Genomic DNA, 21,803 nt, shown 5'->3' on the forward strand with positions numbered 1-21,803 from the left:
CTTTAAGCTGAGACTATAATCTTCTATGGTTTTCCTCCAGCCAGTCTGACGGTCCTCATCCACCCAGAGCACCCCACAGAAGGGAAGCTGGTAACGAGCCAACAGAGCAGGGACTTCTGCACGCCTTTAGTGCTAAGAAAGCCAGCATTGGTGCTCTGGTTACCCTGCTCCCAGACTAAAAGTCACAAGGCCACAAGCATAATGTACTACTAAAGCTTGGTTTATTTAAGCCATATTTGGGCCATCTTATCCCAAGGTCAGAAAGAAATACCGGTATAACCAGGCATACTCCCTTACACACACACACACACACACACACACACACACACACACACACACACACACAACTACTACTACAACCACCCACAGGAGCGATCTCTCTCTTTCTCCCTTAGAAACCCGAGCTTCAGGCACAAAGAGGAACCAAAGGACATGAAAGCACATTTCCCAGTGGAGACTTGGGATACTTATTCTGGCTTCGGTCTGTCCACACTGAGAGCCACTCCCATCTTGGGGTGGCTGTGGTACACTCTTCACGGGAAATGATGGTGCATGGCTGGGCTGCCCTCCTCAGCTATTCCTCTAAAGTGAATTCGGGGGCTGCTGATTCTCAATTCTCACAGCAGGTCTCATGGGCACCGAGCTCTGTCCAGGCCTCAGTTTCAACACTTAGCCTTTTACTCTCTCTAGTCAAATTCTTCCTCCGAAAAATAGACTAGGAAAAAAATAGAAAAGCCAATCAAATGCTTGGTATTTTTTTTAAAAAACTTTTTTATAGTTTTCTGAGATGTGTTGATTCAGAAATAACCCTCACATATTATCAGTTGAAAAATAAAACAAAGCGCCAAAAAAGCATTTGCATTTTCCTTTATCTTACACGGGCCCTTCACCTACTGTCTGCCTCACACCTAAAGCAGAGCCTGGTTCCTGGGAAGTCCTACATTGGTACAATGAGAAGGCTATGATAATATAACTGCCATTGCTTTTGCTTTCCCTGAATAGTGCATATTCAATTTGATACAAAGAGACATAGGCTCCATCCATCCATCCATCCATCCATCCATCCATCCATGCATTCATGCATCCATCCATCCATCCATCCATCATTGAGAACAAAAGATATCGTTATGCTGTTAATGAGTATTTCATTTTAGACACAATTAAGTATGGAAATGTAGATTCAGGATTAAGACTATACATAAAGGTATCATGGAAATAAAAGAATTATAGTGCAAGAGCTGATTTTCTGGTGAGCGAATGGGAAATGGGTTCTAAAGAAAATCTCCACAGAATTTTCTAGAATGGTTATTAAGAATGGCTACATCCCTGGACAAGTATTCTGCATGTCAGGAGTCTACTTTGAAAGATGCTTCTTTTTTGAATGTGTTTGATTTAAAAAAAAAAAAAGGCAAGTTCCTTACTTTCTAGCCACATGGTCTATGTGGGTGCTGTGATCAGAATGTGTGTGTCCCCCAAAATTCCTATGTTGAAACCGAATCACCAAGGTGAAAGCATGAGGAGGTGAGGCCTTTGGGAGGTGATGAGGTCATGAGGGAGGGGCCCTCATGATGACACGGGAAGTGCCGGGTACAGAAGGGCGGGGTCCCTGGCGAGGGCTCCACCCTTGGGCCTGTGCCCAAGGACCTAAATGAGGACAGGCATTTCTGCTTTCATGCCCAAAAAGTTGCCTTCTGGCCTGCCACACTCCCATCGTGTGCCCACAAAAACCCAAGACCCTAGTAGGCACTGACGTAAGCGGCTGGACGTTAAGAGGAGCAGAACAACACATCGACCGACACCAACAGACACCAGCAGGCCATCGACGGCGGGACGACGCGGAATTTGGCTGGAGGTGGTTGGAGGAGAGTCTGCTCCATGCCAGGGGAAGACCACCTTCTGGCTCCCCATCCACCTCTGTGATAAGGCAGAGAGTCTAACTGAGCTGATTAACACAAGCCGCCTGCAGATGGCAAAACTGAAAGAGCGCCCTGTAACACACGCCCACCGGGGCTTCGGGAGCTGTAAACACTCAACCCTAGATGCTGCTGTGAGGTCAGGGGCCAAAAACGCTCCCCACGACCTTCCCGTCTGCATGCTCCCCTTAGGGGTTTGAGCAATGGGGCACTGAAGAAGCAAGCTGCATCCCTGTCACGCGCCCTGGGAGCGGGTTAAGGGAACTTCTCCCGTTTCAATGAATGGGATGAGAGCCCTCATAAAAGAGGCCCTAGAGAGCTGCCCGTCCCCTCCACTATGGGAGGACACAGCAAGAAGATGCCCTCTAGAACCAGAGAGCAAGCTGGCATCAGACGCGGAATCTGCTGGCACCTTGATTTTGGACTTCCCAGCCTCCAGAACTGTGAGAAATAAATTTCTGTTGCTTATAAGCCACCCATTTTGAGGTATTTTATTATAGCAGCCTGAATGGACTAACATAGTGGGTAAAACGCCCCGTACATAAGCACAAACACTAAGTAAGTGTCATGAGGAATAAAGGAGGCCCAAGCGTGAGGGCCAGAGCCTGGTCAGGGACACATGCTTTTAAAGGAGGTGAGCTCGGGCCAAACGTGGTCTCCTCTTGTGGATGCTGCGTATTCATTCCAGACAAAACTGTAAATGCTAAGCCAAATAGAGCTCTTCAGTTTGTATCTGGGGCATACTTGTTTTTGGAAAAACCAAGAGGGCTTGATAATCGCCAGAAAATATGATGAACAGACCCAGGCAGATTGGAAGGGTAAGATCGACGGAAGATGATGGCGTGGACAGCGGAGGTTTCCGTTCCCAGTGGGGCGGCAGCAAGGACAAAAACATCTGGAGAGGCGCTCTGCAGGCCCGCCTGGCAAGCTGGTGGATCAGGTTACTTCATGACGGCAACTGGGTTCGTTCCGTACCATGAAAACCATATTTCATCTTTCAATAGGAAAAAAATTACAGCTAGTGTTATACAAGCAAAACGAAACAAAGAAAACTGGAAAACAGAGAAGGAAAAATCAACCACCGTAACTGCCATCATGCCTGCGGTTTTCTCTCATCCTTTCAACATTCTTCTAGAAAGAGTTTCGACTTTTTTTTCTTCTTTTTTTAAACTAAGCTTGCTTTAAGCCTAAGCCGTGCCTGGGAGCCTTCAGACTTTGACTATGCCAAAGGACAGTGTGGCCATAAAATGTTTAGGGGAAGAGATTTAGAGGGGAGCAGAGGGGAAATAAAAATGAGTATCTGTTTTTAAGCCAACAATTCAATCTCTTCTTTAACAATAAGAACAACAATAGTAGTAGCAGTAGCGGCAAGAGAAAAAGACAGTGGTAGATAAATATGGAAGGAGAACTCATGGTAGCAGGCACCTGTAATCCCCACTACTTGGGAGGCTGAGGCAGCAGGATCGCTTGAACCCGGGAGGTGCAGGTTGCAGTGAGCCGAGACGCACCACTGCACTCCAGCCTGGGCAAAAAGAGCAAAACTCTATCTCAAACAAAACAAAATAAAGCAAAACAAAACAAAACAACACAACTCCTCCAGCTTAAAGGAGACCTAAGGGACACATCCATCAGTTACAACGTATGGAACTTTATTTGAGTCTAGATTAAAAAAAAAACAACTGGCTAAAAAATTATAAGCTTTTGGGGAAATACAAACACCGATGGGATAAATACTAAGGAACTGTTAACACTATAAGGTGTGCTATTGATATTACTATAGTTGTATGTTTAAGAATCTGTAAATTATTGAAATACGTAATGAAATACATACAGAAGAAATTATATGATAACTGAGGATTTGCTCCAAAATCCTCATTACTTGGGGGTGAAGGAGGTGGTGGAAAGTGGGACAGGGGCAGATGAAATAAACTTGGCCAGGATTGATGACTGCTGGGTGAAAAGTATACAAGGGTTCATGATTCTGTTTTTTGTGATATATTTGAAATACTCTACAGTAAAAAGTTTTAATGGGGAAAAAATGGTAGCAAAATATACTAAACGTACTGTACCAGATGTGGAATGTACCCTTTGTCAACAAAGACAGGGCCCATAACATGGAGCTCCAGGTGACACTGTGCTCCAAGAATGCCATCAGGGAAGACAGGCTAGGTCTAAGCTCATTGAAGTTTTATTTCCCTCTTGCAGATGAGTTAAACTTGACCTTCCACTATAATCAGTGTTAAACAGTGGTTAAACCTGGTGCTTAAACAGCGTGAGAAGCACAGCAGGCCCAAGTGTGTCTGCCTTCAGTGCATGCCTGGTTGGGGTTGGGGGAGTCTATGCGGGAGGGGACAGACATGAGCACCCTTCTGACCCCTGCAGGCAATTAACTGATACTTTCAGGCAGGGAGTGCCATTATCTTTAACTCAGCAGGCATCACTGTACATAATGAGAGGTCATAATTATAGTTCTCTTTTTAAAATGTGACCACAGTATCCAAATTGACCTCTTGTGGCAGGCTGGCCTACATGCTGGGAAGTACAAAAAAAGGCGGGTACGGGCCCTACCCATTGGCGTGACAATGATGGGCAGCCAGGGTCCCTTTGCAACTTCTGAGGTCAGGCATCCGCGCTTATTCCCTGGGGAACTTCAATCTGTTTAGGGTTTACTAATTATCATTTTTCACTGAGTAGCATTTTACTTCTTTAAATAGACACAGACTAGCCAGGGCTTTTTACTGGGGAAAAGGCAAAAGCAACGACTCAAATTAATATGCCAGTGATGATGTGCATCTACTGTCTATCCATGGAATCACCAAGTTGAAAAGATCAATTTCTGATCATTTTTCCACTTTAGTATTTTGTAAGATTGCTACAGAGACTCTTTCACTTTAAAAATGCTGACTTATTATACTATTATACCTTATAATTGGCCCCACCTAGCAATATCTCGAGCTCCTACAGCCCAAACCATTATATAGACTGAACTGTCTGTGGGGAAATGCAACCTGCCTGGATTTTCATATAGACAGACTCTCTCAGTTCTAAGCACAGAATAATAGAATTTTTGAGCTAAAAGAGACCCTCTGAAATCATCTTACTGATGAACAGTGTGAAAAAGATCTACTTGAATTAGCGGGCTGGATGGAGGCTGAGACAGGAGCCAGGTTCAACCAGGGTCTTGAGCCACAATCTGCTCGACCCCTCCACCTGTCTCTTAAACATCAAAGAAGCTACATCCCAGTGATGCCTTCCAGAGAAACACAGAAGATCTCCCAGTTTTTCTTTTTTAACAACATTAGACAAGTCCTCTCAAAGGCCTCATTTCCTAACCACGCAACGACAAACACACTAAAATAAAATGAGGTACTCACCTACCTTCCACGGATATTTGGAAGAATAAACTTTTTGTTACTCTAAAACACTTCGGACTCACTGGATATTCCATATATATGAATGATATAAACAAATGTGATGATAAAATCACAGGGGTGAGGAACTCACAGAACCAGCTGTAGTTACCACCTTATCTGGCGGCCACGTTAATTCCAGTTCTTGCTTCCAACACAAAGCCCAGGCAGCTAATCTGTGCCTCTCCCATTCCTTTACGTATTAGGAGCTTCTGCTCCTTTACCTTTCCCCAATAGGTATTCAATAACCCTGACGAATGGCCAATATTTTTCCAATGATATTTCAAATCCTTAGCCAACACTAGAAAAATTTGAGAGATATTGGAGCACCAGCTAATTCCTTCCCGGCTGAAAGGAGGAACAGAAAATTCCAAAGTGTGACATAAACAGTTTCAGATAAATAGCAGACAATGTCACACCACAACATTTACACAGCGGAGTGACGATTCCTGCTTGAAGGCATGGGCTTTGAATAAATGGCCCTGAGAAATACAGTTTTTACCAATATGCTTTTCTTGAATAGAACCTGGGAGTGAATGATGTTCTCTATATTTGTAAACACTTCTTTATTCAGAAAAGCAAAACTTACCCACTATTCAGAGATGGCCAAAACTAGAGTTTAAAGAAAAGAATAATTGCTTTACTCCTTTTCTAGGCATGTCACTACTAAGAAATATGACTATTTCCTTTTGGTTCAGTAAAACAACACAAAGGAACAAGTCTAAATACATCACAACAACGGTATTTAATTGGGCCTAGTGCATTTGCATCTCAATATAAAGTCACTGCATGATATACCAATGCGGATGCACTGATGAACTTCATTCCACCATTGTTAACAGATAAGGAGAAACTTTTCGGTGGGAAATTCTTCATGTTTTACATTATTTATTGGAACATTTCATGTACTTACTTGGCTGAGAAACTCCAATTCCATGCTACACAAGTATTTTGCAAAATATGTGCCTACTTTTCACAGTCCCAGAACTGTGGCTTGACACAGCACCTAGCATACTGATACGGTTTGGATCGGTGTCCCCACCAAATCTCATGTTCAGTTGTAATCCCCAGTGTTGGAGGTGGGGCCTGGCAAGAGGTACCTGGATCATGGAGGTGGATCTTCCATGAATGGTTCAGCACCATCCCTTTGGTGCTGCTCTTGCAATGGAGTTCTCACAAGATCTGGTTGTTTAAATGTGTGTGGCGCCTGCCCCCGCCCCTCTCACCCTCCTATGAAATGCCAGCTCTCCCTTTACCTTCCTCCATGATTGTAAGTTTTCTGTGGCCTCCCCAGAAGCTGAGCACGTGCCTCCATGCTTCCTGTACAGCCTGCAGAACCGTAAGCCAATTAAACCTCTTTTCTTTATAAATTACCCAGTCTCAGGTATTTCTTTACAGCAATGCGAGAATGGACTAAGACACATACTGTTGTCACTCAAATACTCTATTTAAATAAAAGCCCTGATTCTCTAGAGTTTTGCTTTGCTGCTCAGTAAATCAGCCTCTACTATATTTATCCCTAAGTGTCATTTGCAGCATTAATTAACACAAACAAGCCACGTATTTAAAGACCATCATTTCCTATTTTAGTTACATTTTGGTTGTAGACTGCACATTTCATTTAGTTATTTGTCAGTGTAAGGACAACCTCAGCACCCAGTAATGGAAAGGGTTAAAAACAGAGGTGCTATCGAGTCAGCCCCTTCCTTGGGTGGTTCATCAGACAGGTTATCAAAGTGAAACACTCCATCGACAGGGTAAAATCCTGGCATCTGCTGAGTGGCAAATTCGGCTCACTTCATTTTGCTTTATTTTATTCTCCAAAGAAACTATACAGTTTGGACTACAGAACACAATTAATTTTTACATTTCTCCACTCTCTGGCAGCTTATTTTCTCCATCTAGACATGTTGCAAAAACCAAAAAACAAAAGAGAATAGCTAACAAAGCCATAGTGGATTTATTGTATTGATTCCATTTCACATAAAGATGTTAATTCATCCAATTCTTTAAAAAGTTTCATTACCTTTCAACTAGAATATACTGTGTCCCACCCAAGCCAGCTGATGTCACTCTACACGTTTCACTGTGCAGTTTTTACTTCTGGAGGGACCTGAGCCCAGATTCAAAGCAATTTTGGAGATTAAGCTTTGCAAGTAAATTCATTTTTATCACAATCTTCATGTTCCAAAGTGGCCAAGTTATCTTGGTCATGTTTATTAACTAAAGGTAATAGGAAAGATCCTAATCAGAGCTTCAGTGTATGCAACTGTAGAAACCAATTCTCTCTCTGGATGTGGACAGAAAGTTCTCAACTCCAACCACTGAATCTCATTAGTGTCCTGGGACCTGATCAACAGTACCATGGCTTGCTGATGACCACCCAAACAAAAGCAGTTTCTGGAGGAGCAAAGAGTCGCTTATACTGAAGAAAGAACAGGAAACAGGCTACAAAGAGGGATCTGGGGTAGGTGGTCAGTCCACAGGAAGACTTAAACCTGCAGAAAGTACATGTAGACACTGGGAATTTGTGCATGTTTCTGGAAAGGGTCCATAGCTTTTATCCAATTCTTTTAGGAGTGGATTATACAGAAAGGGGTAGCACTGGCTTCAGATTCACTCATCATTAGGTTGAGTCTCACCCCAGAGAGCATCAACAGAACAGAACGAAATTCTCTCCCCTTGCTAAAAGGAAGCATTATGATCCTTTGGTCTGGGATGATCCTGAAATATTTGCTATAACAGGAAGATGTGTTCTGCTAGGGACTGAATGTTTATGTCTCCCTAAAATTCATACATTGAATCCCTAACCTCCAATTTGATGGTATTTGAAGATAGGGCCCTTTGGGAGGTGATAGAGTTAGAGGAGGTCATGTTCTTCATGATGGGATTCGTGGCCCTATAAGAGTAGCATAAGTAGTGACCACATAAGAGAGATCTCCTCTTCCCTCTCCACACAAGCACAGAAAAAAAGGGTAGGTGATGATACAGCCAGACGTGAAAGTCTGTACACCAGAAACCATACCCTGCTGGACCTTGATCCTGGACTTCCAGCCTCCAGAACTGTGAGACAATACATTTCTGTTGTTTAAGCCACCTAGTCTGTGGTATTTTGTTATGGCAGCTGGAATAGAATAAGACATGTTCTTTGGCCAGTGTTATGTTATCAGAATCTCACAATTCACAAGGATCGTGTGTTGGGGGCACTGTGGATTGCTCCTTCAAACTGCGGAGGTTGGGAAGCTACAGTCTTCATCTTCCAGACTTCCTTGCAGCTGGGGTTCTGGGGGTAAATTCAGTTCTGCCAATTAGATGAAGTCAGGCTGAGGTGAGGTGAGGCCCCCTTTGGCTGTGTGAGTGGCCTGCAATGCTGCAGAAAGGCTGGGTTTTCCTGCCGTGACCTCCCAGTGCCCATTCTCCAGTGCCTGGGTGTCAAGAGGCAGTTGCAGGGGTGGCAGTGGGCTCTGGGTCACAGCCATGAGGTGTGTTCCTGACCACACAGATCCGGCGATGGCAGCCTGCCTGGTGGCTGGCTCCTTAGGATTCTGGAAATCATTTCTGAAAGGCTGGCCTGGGTCCCCCTCCTTTGGCCCTTCCAACAATTTTGTAAATACTTAATTCTTTGTATTGCCTCCCTTTCTGCCTCAACCCCTTAAACTACTTATCACTTCTGTATCTCAGACCACAGAACCAGGCACATCATTAAAATCCTCCATGTCTGGAGGGCCCAAAGAGCTGTTTGCCTCCAGGAGGGCTCTGCTGGTTTAATGAGGATCAGGTTTGACACCGCTAAGGAGCAGTTACTTTCTGGAGCTCATTGTTGCTAAAGAGATACGTTATAAAAAACTCAGGTCTTTTAAGTTGACAATTTCAAAAAGCCACTCAAAGGCAGACCAGGCCTCTGCAGTTTTACAAGGTTAGTAGAGGGAGGGGGAATTTCCTCATTTTGTTTTTCTGGACATAGAGATACCATCTGGGCATGCTCCTGGCTGCCAGCTAAGGCCTCCCCGTCCAACATCCTTCCCAGGCACAGGGAAGTGTCAGAGCAGATGGATAGAATGTGACCACACACCTGCTGCCCATCTCTCCCCCAACCTTCCATACAGCATTGCCTGGAGACAACCTCAGTTCAGCTCTGAATCCTTGCCTTTCACCAAGGGCCTCATAAGAAAAGGGTATCTGTGGAACCTTCGTAACTACATTAAATTCTGTTAAAGACATTTCTTACCTTACTCATTGAAAGCCCCAAGACAGGGGCTCATTCTTAGAGGCAGGCACTTCACTGGTATGTGTACTTATACCAGAAATAAGAGCTGTGTGTACCATATTTCTCTTTTTGCCTTAGCTGCTAGGAAACTCGAAGATGGGTTTTGAATCGGTCACTCTAGTTTCCTTAGACCCTGCAGAGTGACTGTCCCTCTCTCCCCTTTTTGAAACATATAGCTACTGTTTCAAAACCCTACCTTAAGGATGGCTGATTCCATTGTTTCTTGCACCTTATCATTATAAGTCACCTCTCTGTTTTGGGAGACAGCTGAAATATACAGATAAGTAAAACTTAAGTATTTGTTTTTGGCTAGCTACTGGTTTGAGGACATGAGCCTTTCAGCCCACCCTGTGTGGAAAATACTGAAGAGAGGTAATAAATAAGGCCCTTTCCCATTTGTCCTGGGGGAGGCAGTAAGACTGCCCCCACCCCAGAGGAAATTTGACAACTATGTTTCTTAAAGAAGGCATACAAATATCAAAAATTGTGGTGCAGTTGCTTAAGGCTATACCTAATAATTTATTAAGCTATTGTTTCTTCTAAATTTTATACTCACTGTAACAGTAACAAAGATAATATTACCATGTACATTGTTGACAGATGGGTCTTTACTCAATGAGTTTTCTCACGGATCTTTAAAGAGTTTAAAAACTAAGTCTCTTGGGGCAATATGCAAACAAAAAAAAGTGGCAAAATGTTCTGGAAGAAGTTACAAAGTTCCCAAAGATGAACAAATAATTCAGTGTGCCTTCTCTCTCAACTTTGATGATATATCTTTTTTGTTTGTTTGTTTAAAATACCTACCAACCAGTCTGGGCAGGTTTCGGATGGCCACTGTTTCCTTATCTGTAAAAGAAGGGGGTTGGACTAAACCTCTAAAATGGATTCTATCATCTGTGAAGCAAGCTCCGTCATCCTCAGCTCCACCCGATGTTGAAAGAGGACCAGGTTTGTACGTGCAAGTCCCTACTAGAGACCAGGTCCCTGCCTCCTGCACCGTGCGGATGACTGCACTCCCTTGGCTGGACAGAAAGGGTCACCCTTGCCAGGCCTTCTTGTTTGGTTAATCTCTTCACATCTATTTGCTCCGCTGCCCCGACAACTTAACAGCAAACAAAGGCCTGGGCTCCATGCCACTCACTCCGAATCAGGAACCTGCCTATTTTGTTTACTTTGGGGCACAAGAAGGAAGCAAACAGCAGCTTTTGTAAGTCAAGTTGGTGATAGTCTTCACTCAATTACGGCCGTGAAAAGAGGGAGAGATGGAAAGGACCCTTTTCCAGGGCAGGCACTTCATGCTGACCCACTCTACCCAAGTTTCCTTTCACTGGCATCGACCCTGGAAGTGGCTCGACTTTGAGGGAGCTAACCATATTTTCTGCACTTTGTCAGACTGTTTTTTTCTCAGCCCAGTGGGGACCACGTAATGTGAATGCCTTCTATCTAAGCAGAGTATTTTCTTGAAAGAAAAAGCACAGGCTACAACTAGCTCCTTGGGAGTAATACAATTCCATTTTCTGATTCTTATCATCAGGCCAGATGCTGCTTCTGACTATAAAACTATTACCGGGTAAGGTGAGGCAAGCCAAGTGCTTTAAATAAGCAGAATTAAAAGAATTTACCATCAGATGGTTAACAAGAAAAGGGAGAAGGTACATTAGGCGAGGGTAGTATATTCTATGGAAAATATTTTGCAAGGCGTCTAAACCAGACAAAAACAGGATTGGTTGGTTTATTACATAATTAAACTGCAGTCAGCAATGGGCAGGGTCTTCTGTCTTTTAAAATCCAAACTAGTTATTCAAGTTTCATTAGATACAGTTTAGAGATTCTATTTGGGGAAGGAACCCAATTTTTTTTTTTTTGTCTGGGTTAGAGTTAAAAAAAAGAAGTGCTGCTTTGCAAATCTGGATTCTAGTCTCAATAAAACAATCACAATCCCCTCCTCCTTCCTCAAATATCTTTTTTGCTTCATTTCTTCAGAGTTAGGAGAATAGAGATTTTTTTTTTTTTGGCAGAAAGCCAAAGTAATATCCCAACAAGATATCTGACTTCTTTACAGAGAGACATACTGTTTCATGTTTGATTTTGATTTTCAAAAGCAGAATAATTTTCACATCATTATATAAAAGGCTTCCACTATTTAAAATGTCATTTCTAAATTAATTTTATACCCCTGAGGCAAAATGCATCCGACCACATTGAATTCTACCCGTTTAAAGAAGGTGGGGACTTGGTGAAAGTGGCAGAAAAACTCTCAGTCTTTAGAACAAGAAGTCAAAGTCAGTTGTTTCTGGAAGCTGGTTTTGTTTTTCATATGGCATGTCTCCAGTTGTGAATCCCCATCAGATGAAATGCAGAAGAAAAGTGGCTCTTCTGTGCAATTTCTGCAGTGTGGCAGTCAGGAGAATTTGTTGGCCCAAGAGACCTACAGCAACATTCCTGCGTCTGGCGGCGGCGGCAAGACAGCTGAAAATTTGATGACTTGCTATCTTAAAATCTTAACAGCTGGGCAGATGACGGAATAATGAAATGGCTCCTTGTATCTAAAACTCTTCATCTCACCTTAAAGACAAGCCAGCATATTCTTAAGAAAAGAACCTCAGTGACCTCCTGATAAAGTATATTAATTTGCCAAGTGTTGTTCTAGAGGAATGCCTACCTTTTCTCATCAAAAGTCAGAAGTGACCATTTGTGCCCAGGAGCAAAGAGTTAAGCTGAGCAGTCCAGTGCCCTATGGGGCTACAGGTGCCTAGGCTGATGTATCCTAGTGATAGGAAAGTTGGTTAACAGGCACTTACAGAGGACTTCCTGTGGACACGCACACAGGTGTAGGGTAGGGGCTGGGAGGGAGGAGGTAGCTCAAGGAGGAATCATTCCAGCAATAAAAGGCTTTATGCTCTAATCGGGTACAAACTTTCCATCATCCCTGCTTGATAAAAAAGAAAAAACAGATAAACACAAAAACCCAAATGTTTACCCAAGGCAGAATCAGCTGTAAGGCATAGGTCAAAGGGGAAAATGTCTCGGCAGGTAAGGAGTTTATAACACCATCATAGAATAGATGCATTCAGAATGCATCTAAGCCACTCTCCCACAACCTAACCCGGGTGCCCAACATTTAGTGCCAGAACCTCTGGAACTACCTTCCAACAGGTCTCCCTGCCTCAGTCTCCCTCCCTGCTATCCCACTCTCCTCATGGGACCACACTCAGGCCCCTTTTTCCTTCTAAGCTTCTGTAGGCTCTTCTCCATCCTTCAAGATGGTCCAACTCTGCTCTCCAGCATTCAAAGCCCAATGGCTTGTGGCCCTTGCTGAACCAAATGTCCCCCAGCCAGGTTCTCACTGACCTCAGGCCAGGTTTGGTCTTAGACGGTTTTATCCATGATGCCACCCATCTAGAATCACTTCCCCAGACTTTCTTCCTAAGAAAACTGTTCCCACCCCTTAATGAAAATCCACCTTCCACAATCCACAATCCTCATTGTTCCCTGCTGCGTGTGGCTGTCATCAAAACCTTCCACAGCCATCTGATTTTCCATTTTTATTACCCTACAACCAGGCCAGATGCTTCTTGAGGGCAAGGAGTGTGGAAATGGCATCTTCTTATTCTCTATATCTGCCCTTCCCCCAGCCTGGCCCTATGCTGTGCTGATTCTGTTGAAGATAACTCTTTAATTTCTCTTTTAGGAGGATCCTGGGTAAACGGGGTATGTAAATCTGGAAGCTGCTCAAAAAAGAAACAGTTGTTTTAGGAAAATGACAAGGGTGTGAGATCTCAAAATGTTTTTTTGGTTCGTTTTTGAGACAGGGTCTCACTCTGTCATCGAGGCTGGAGTGCAGTGCTGCGATCACAGCTCACTGCAGCCTGGACCTCCTGGGCACAAGCAATCCTCCTGTCGCATTGCAGCCTCCCAAGTAGCTGGGACTACAGGCACCTGCCACCACACATGGCTATTTTTTTCCTTTTTGTAGAGATGGGGTCTCTCTATGTTGCCCAAGCTGGTCTTGAACTCCTGGGCTCAAGCAATCCTTACTGTCTTGGCCTCCCAAAGTGCTGGGATTACAGGCATGAGCCACCACGCCTGGCCTCAAAATGTTTTTATGTGTTCTTCACCTCTGCCACGCCTAGCTGCTAGTAAGAAGAGTGCCAAAGACTCAGAGTCCTGGAGCCAAACACATCTGGGTTCTAATTCGCCATTTCATTCACTTGCTGTGTGCTTTTGGGCAACCCACTTCACTTCTCTGAGCTTCAGTTTCCTCTCCAAAGGGGACCATGCACCCTAGTTCATAGGGAGGTGGTGAAGAATTACATCTTCTTTAAAAGCACAATTAAAAATTATATTTAAAATAGTCTTGGTAGTTCCTTTGGAAATGTCAGCTTCCCATGCCCACCCATGGGTCCCAACAAACTACCAAAGGGAAGGAACAAAGTCCAGTCCCCGCCAGCTTTGCAGTGACCCACTTCCCTCCTGTTTGTGGGAGCCCTCCCCAATGCTGAGCCTGCAGCACTGCTGCCGGGCCTGGCTCGCTATGCTGGTGGCTCCCTGAGGTGCTGGTGCACTCAGGCAAAATGAACCGAACATCTGTATTCTATTTGCTAATGAGCAATCATCATTTGTACCTTTTTCCAGCCTGGGATTCAGCTGCTTGGAATACTAATGCCATTAGAAATTGGAATCTTTTTTGAAAAACACATACTCTTTTAGCAAAACCCGGTTTCACTCACTGACATTTTTATGGTTCCTGGGATTCCTTGGCAATTCACTGCTGGTTACAAAGCCCTTAATTCCCCCTGGGCCCCTCTCCGCCATGCCTGCACCTATCTGTGTAATATTTGGGTGTGTGGGTGGGGATTGGGATCCAGAAGACTTGACTGGTCCTAGACTTGCCTTTTCAACTAATTCAGTGACTATGATCGGACAAGTCAATGGAGCATTCCTTTTTAATCATGTGATTTTTAATTAATCACAAGATTAATACAAGACTACAACTGCTTATTTTAAAACTCAGGTCATCACAAGAGAGGTCACCCAATCCTATTCCCTTGCCTTTTCCCTAAAGGTAACCTTACAACCTTGGTGTGCACCTGTCCTGAGCTTTTTTCTATGAAGATGAGCATCTGTGTCTTTCAAAACAATTGAGTATTAAGTTTGTGTGTGTTTTACACATGTGAAGACAAACGTATACATTGTTCTACAGCTTGCTTTTTTCATTCAATGATAAGTTTTGTCTTCTATTCAAGAGGGATATGGCTCATGCCTTTTCATTGCTGAAATTCAATCTATTTCAACATTTCCCTGGTCATGAACATTTTAGGTTGTTTCCAATCTTTGGCTTTTATAAAGAATGCTGTAGTGAGCCTCCTTGCACACGTCTGGCTGTGGACATGTGGGGCTGCTTTTCTAGGGAAAGTGACTCAAAAGAGACTTTCTGGGTCTTGCTTTCCTCATCTGTGAAATGAGAGGTCTGGACTGAACAGTCACCATTATGACCCTACTTCTATTGTACGTTTTGTGGCATTAGGAACCAACGTAGGAAGCCTTTGTTTCTATACACAAACTCTATTCTCAATTCAGCACCCGCTAAGACTTTCCCTAACCTTCCAAGGTCTTCCATAAGCAAAGCTCATTTATTCTTATTTTCTCCTTTTATTTAACAGATTGTTATTCTCAATCCTGCATCTTTGTCAACTCCCTTCTTCCCCTAAGAAATTCCTGCTTAATACTTGACAGGCACTGATATGGTTTGGCTCTGTATCACCACCCAAATCTCATGTCGAATTGTAATCCCCACATGTCAGGGGAGGGAGGTGGTGGGAGGTGACTGGATCATGGGGGTGGATGTCCCCATCTCGTGACAGTGAGTTCTCACGAGATCTGATGGTTTAAAAGTGTGGCACTTCCCCTTCTGTCTCCCTCCTGCTTCCATGTAAGACATGCCTTGCTTCCCCTTTGCCGTCTGCCACCATTGTAAGTTTCCTGAACCCTCCAGCCATGTGGAACTGTGAGTCAGTTAAACCTCTTTACTTTATAAATTACCCAACGTCAGGTATGTCTTTATAGCAGTGTGAAAACGGACTAATAAAGGCATTATTGGAGATGCTCAGAGCTTCTAACTTTGTGTTTGCACATGTGTTCCCATGAATGTCAGCCCCATGAGGAAAGGGCCTTGTCTTTCCTTAGCCCGTGTTCCCCGAGAGCATGGCACCACATGCAGTGGGCTGTCATCAAACATCTGGCGAGTGGATGGCTGCGACTCTTACCACGTACTGGAAGTACAACTTGGGGCAATTTGACGTAACCGCTCTGTGCCTCAGTTTCTTCACCTGGAAAATGTGATAATAGCACCCCCTTCCCTTACAAACAAGTTGATACACGCAAAGCCCTTAGAACAGCGCCTGGTTTGTAGGCATTGTCAATGAATGTTAGCTACTATTACAGTTGTCATTAAAGCTGTGTTGGTTGGATATTCCATTTGACCAATAGGATATGTATCCAGCAGCGCCCCTGAGATTGCTGGGATGCAGCACTGAGGTATCATTGGGCTAGGTTTGCCAGAAGCTGTTAGGAGAGAAGTCTCAGGCAGGATCCTTGCCACTTACAGAACTAATCATCGGTCTGCAGTTGACTATTTTTTTAAAATTATAATGATGTATATAATTCCATACTGATATCAACTGATGAGCTGAACTTTATGTTTGCTTTGCTCCATTTTGCTATGCTTTTTGCAAGCCACACCTTCCTCCTCCTTTCTTCTCATCACATTATTCTTCTTCCTCTTGCGAGGCCCAGCAGATCTCCCAGAGAAGCCACATGCTTTGGATTCATTTGCGGCCTCCCTTGGTTCCAATTCAGACCATGGAAAGTGGCAGAGCAGTTGAGGATGCAGGCTCTGGATTCAGGTGGCATGGGTTCAAATCCCGGCTCCAGTACTTACCAGCAGTGTGACCACAGTCAAGATACTTAACCTCTTTGTGCTCCAGTTTTCTTATCTGTAAAATGGGCTGAGGATTAAATGAGCTGGTGTGTAGAAAGCATGTACAGAGTAGCTGGCACACAGCACTGAATAGTGCTGCACCATCTTCAGATCTAAATGATACAACTAAAGCATCACCATTTTCAGGACCCGCAATGCAAGCTGTGTGCTGGTGATACGACTGATTTTTCCTGGCTGCAAATACACACACGGCTCTTTCCATACTACCTACTTCATACTACCTACTGTACACCAGCCTGGGTCACGAATGTGTATTCATGGGCTGGATCGGGAAGAGAGCGGTGGCCATGACTGTGGTAAAGATGTCTGATCTGGACCTAGATGGTACCCTGTCCTTGGTCCCCCAGCATCTCTCTGGGGCTGACCTGCCAGGCAACTGAGCATCAGTACTCCTATCAGACGAATTTCTCAATTGTATCCAAGTGTTAATACATGCTTTGAAAGACGGCCAGAAGAATGCCCTGAGAACCATCAGAAAGCAAAGATTAGCTCCAGGTGAGGCAGTTCTACTACACAGGCTAACGTGATAGAACGATGACTGAAAAATCACCAAGGGGAGGCAACCCTGACAGCAAGGAAAAAAATAAAAATTAATTACAGCACTCTATGGAGAAGGTGTTCAAACCCTGAAGCTTATGGAATCAGGCTGGTAGCTGAAAGTGAGTTCAGGGATGCATTAAAAACAGAACCTATTTTTACACCAACAAGCAGCAGAGGCAATAGGTACAAAACTCTCAAACGAAGGCAGAAGCCTGTGTGTGTAATACAAGCCCTAGTGTGGTGTAAGGGCCACTGAGAATTACCACTAAATGTAGCGTGGATTTTATTATTTGACAGTAAACATAGTGGTAACAATGATTATTTTGTTATAATGGTAGTTCTATTCCAGCGAAGTGTCTTAGGCTAGCATTTCCTCCTTTCTCTTGGATGGTGTTCTATTGCTATGACAACCAATAACATTTTGCACACCACAGAGCACTATATCATGTATCACCACGGCAGAAAAGGAAATGCCATACTGTACTTAAAAGCCACCTTCTTTTCTTTCTCTCTTTTAAAGTCTGTTATCACTCCCCATGCATTATTCACTATGCCATATTATATATAACCTTTACCTTTGGTTACAGTCAGATTTGTGATATATGAAGCAAAAGCCAGAAAGCCTTGCAAATCCCTTAACATTTTCTAACAAATAAAGGATAACCAAACTGTATTATTCTGATTTTTCTTCAACACAGTCATAAAGAACTTGATTTTGCCAACTTCCTCACTGGATCAAAGGCCTTTGTCAGACTTTCGCCACTGTTTGTCTTATGCAGCAAGATCTCTCTCAGTGACACGGCTGGGAAGTAAAGTATCCCCTCTAAGAGAATTTTCCAATACAAGAAGCATCACCTCTTAAAATATCATTTTTTATTTTAAATATTTTAACCAAATTAAAAAATCACATCATACACCAACTTCCCTGTCTATATAATCTTTTTTTTTTTTTTGAGATGGAGTCTTGCTCTGTTGCCCAGGCTGGAGTGCAGTGGCGCGATCTCGGCTCACTGCAAGCTCCACCTCCCGGGTTCACGCCATTCTCCCACCTCAGCCTTCCAAGTAGCTGGGACTACAGGCGCCCGCCACGGCGCCCGGCTAATTTTTTGTATTTTTAGTAGAGACGGGGTTTCACCGCGTTAGCCAGGATAGTCTCCTGACCTCGTGATCTGCCCGCCTCGGCCTCCCAAAGTGCTGGGATTACAGGCGTGAGCCACCGCGCCCGGCCTACACAATCTTTTCTTGAGAACTTAGTTGTCACCGTGGAAACCCATCACTGGCCATTGCTGTGGCACACAGAGCTCTCCAGAGCTGATGTCACCTGAGAAGTACCCTGCCTATGCCCACTGTGGGGCTGGGGAGCTCTGGACAGAGTCAACTAAAGCTGGGAATATACCAGCTCATTTTAACATCTGTCAGCGTTGCCTGGTCCCCCAAGACAGGAAATACATGAAAATTATGCACAATTCCACAGAGTTTCAAGGTCTTTGGATTCTAATGGAAAGACGCTTACATATATTAAGATACAAAAAAATGTAAATCCAGTCTAGTGACAGCCAGAGGGCAGGGGACGTAGACTAATACAAGTGGACAGAGAAATCCGTAATGTTTACCGTGAATCTAAGGAGTGTGGGCCACATGAAATCTGCCTCTTTATTTTGTGGCCTCATTTACAAATGACTATAAAAAGGAGCTCAACCCAGGAGTCAGGGGCACAGACACCCAGCCGAGCTCAGGAGGACACCTGTTGGTCACCGAAACATCTCAGCAAGCCGGGAAGGCAGCCCCACCTTCCCACCCAAATTCACCTAGGAAGGCGATGCCCAAAACTACCTGGGATGACACAATTGATGGTTTCTTTAGTGAAATAAACATCATTTTCTTTGCTCTTCTCTCCTACCTCCCTCTACCCTTCCTTTAAAAAATAAAATAAAATAAAAATTTTAAAAAAGGAAATAATTGGGGGCAAAAGTTTTGCTGAGAGTATCTAAACTATGGAATCTGCCTTTAGTGTTTCTGTAGGATAAGAAACAATTTGGCCTCAATTTTTTTTTCTTTTTAAACAGAGACAGGGTCTCACTATGTTGCCCAGGCTGGTCTTGAACCCCTGGGCTCAAGCAATCCTCCCACCTTGGCCTCCCAAAGTGCTGGGATTACAGATGTGAGCCACCGCAACTGGCCTGGGCTTGGTTTTTAAAAAATGTGAACTGGAGAGCCAGATTTACTTACTGGTCTGTTATTTCCTGCAATCTCAATGACCGTGAGGCTTGTGACTGAGGCACAAGTTGAGTTGAGCCACTGTATGCTAGATCTATGAGGATGGGAGGCCGAGGGTGGAAGGGAAGCTGGCGAGGCTGTGTCGGGTGGTCCTGAAGTCGGCCTCCAGTGGGAAGAGCACTAGTCCCTGGGTGGGCAGGTGCAGACCACGGGCTGTGGTTCCAAGGCCAGACCCCATGGCCTCCTGCCTCCCCTTTCCCACAGCAAAGGTCACCACAAAGGCCAGGGGCAGGTTCTCCTGGGAGATCGCCCAGGGTGCAGGTTGCTGATGGCTTCCTACATTTCGGGTGAGAAGGGGCCTGCTTGTCCACCTTTGTGAGCTTCCTCAGGGCGAAGAAGAATTAGAAATTCCGAGGACTGAACTGCATTCCTGGGCAGCCTCCAGGAGCCTCCAATTGCTCAGACTTTCCTTCTTAAAGTTGCCAGAAGCCCCTGGTAGGTCCCTTTCAGAAAGCATCTGATTTGGAATTTATAGCAATTCTCCCACTGGGCAGTCGAGGGTGAGAGGTGGGCCGGGTGCGGCGCTGGTTGCTGGGGAAGAGACGTTTCCAAAGATCCCTGAGGTGTGGAAGTCAGGGGGAGAGGCGTCCTCATGGGAAGCAGGTCTTTCCATGCTTGGACAATTTGTGTGAGCATCTTTTACCCCCAGGAACATTTAGAATAAAGCAGAGAAATGCTTAAGGAAATCAGGTCTGTAGAATGAATTCCTTAAACAAGACATCAATGCAGATCAACATATCGATGCAGATCAATGTATCAATTGTTCTAACTATTTGAAATACTCACTGTATTTCAAACATAGTATTTCAAATATTTATAACGATTAAGAGAATCTGTCCATTAGAATAACAGACCAGCCTTGAGACTTTAACTTAAAATGTGGCATTAAATAATCAACTTAGATTTTGATTTGAAGTCAAAATCTCAGTAAGGTCATATATACTATACAAGAAAACTTAAAAGACCACAAGGTGTAACATACTTATGAGCTTAATTAGACTTATAAGAATTGCTTAAGTGCTCTAAGAGGCTTGTTTGTTGAGTCAGGCAATTGAGTACTTATAAATTTAATAAGTTCGATTTCCTTTACAAATGCAGCTTAAAATGTTTAAAGGAGTTTAATTAACTAAGTTTGCAAATCAGACCAAACATTAATAAAAGGCCTCCTTAAAAGTGATTATTAAAAACTGATAGGCTTATAAATAAAATGAGATCTGTGAACACCTGTCAAAAGCCTAAGGAGAGGTGAGAATTTAGATTTCATAACTTTCATAAAAATTAATTTCAAAGAGTAAATATCAGAATTACCTTTTCTGCCCCAAATGCTTTGGAACCCTACCTTGCCCATATGATGTGATATGTTTTAGTTTTCCATCTTCAATAACAACTTATTGAGGCACCTACTGTGTGGCAGGTACTATACCAGGCACAACTGGGTATGTTCTAACAATCATCTGGTAGGAGAGATGTAAATATGTGCTACATGAATAACTGCTACATTAGAAAACGGGTGACAATCAACTAAGGAAGACAAAATGCTACAGAAATTCAAAGAACATACATCAATGAAGGCATCATAATAAAATCTTATTTGGAGGCCAAGACAGGAGGATTGCTTGAGGCCAGGAGTTCAAGACTAGCCTGGGTAACATAGCAAGACCCTGTCTCTATAAAAAGAACTTAAGGACGGGTGTGGTGGCTCACGCTTGTAAGCCCAGCACTTTGGGAGGCCGAGGCGGGCGGATCACGAGGTCAGGAGATCGAGACCATCCTGGCCAACGTGGTGAAACCCCATCGCTGCTAAAAATAAAAAAATTAGCTGGGTGTGGTGGTGCGTGCCTATAATCCCAGCTACTAGGGAGGCTGAGACAGAAGAATCCCTTCAACCAGGGAGTCAGAGGTTGCAGTGAGCCGAGATTGTGCCACTGCACTCCAGCCTGGCGACAGAGTGAGACTCCATCTCAAAAAAAAAAAAAAAAAGAACTTAAAAAAGAGCCAGGTGTGGGGATGTGTGCCTATAGTCCCAGCTACCTGGGAGGCTGAGGTAGGAGGATCACTTGGACCCAAGAGTTCGAAGCTGCAGTGAGATGCGATCACGTCACTGCACACCAGCCTGGGTGACAGAGTGAGACTGTCTCTGAAAAATATATAATACAAAAGCCGGGCACAGTGGCTCATGCCTGTAATCCCAGCACTTTGGGAGGCTGAGGCAGGCGGATCACGAGGTCAGGAGATCGAGACCATCCTGGCTGACATGGTGAAACCCCGTCTCTACTAAAAGTACAAAAAATTAGCTGGGCATGGTGGTGGGCGCCTGTAGTCCCAGCTACTTGGGAGGCTGAGGCAGGAGAATGGCGTGAACCCAGGAGACAGAGCTTGCAGTGAGCTGAGATCGT

At 44.1% G+C, this 21,803-nt stretch overlaps 1 protein-coding gene across 2 annotated transcripts in view, besides 1 other annotated feature; it reads right to left on the reverse strand.

Annotated features, from left to right (window-relative positions):
* FOXN3 (forkhead box N3) overlaps positions 1 to 21,803 on the reverse strand; it is a 462,989-nt gene that overhangs the window by 47,581 nt on the left and 393,605 nt on the right. The gene's annotated exons all lie outside the window — the stretch shown is intronic.
* Positions 1,350 to 1,851: an enhancer, noted in NCBI's record as "H3K4me1 hESC enhancer chr14:89671451-89671952 (GRCh37/hg19 assembly coordinates)". NCBI's record gives its function as "activates a minimal SCP1, AML or CMV promoter by ChIP-STARR-seq in primed H9 embryonic stem cells {active_cell/tissue: H9 hESC(primed)}" and the evidence as "EXISTENCE:reporter gene assay evidence [ECO:0000049][PMID:30033119]".

This window comes from Homo sapiens, chromosome 14 (assembly GCF_000001405.40).
Source record: "Homo sapiens chromosome 14, GRCh38.p14 Primary Assembly".
Classification (NCBI taxonomy): domain Eukaryota; kingdom Metazoa; phylum Chordata; class Mammalia; order Primates; family Hominidae; genus Homo; species Homo sapiens.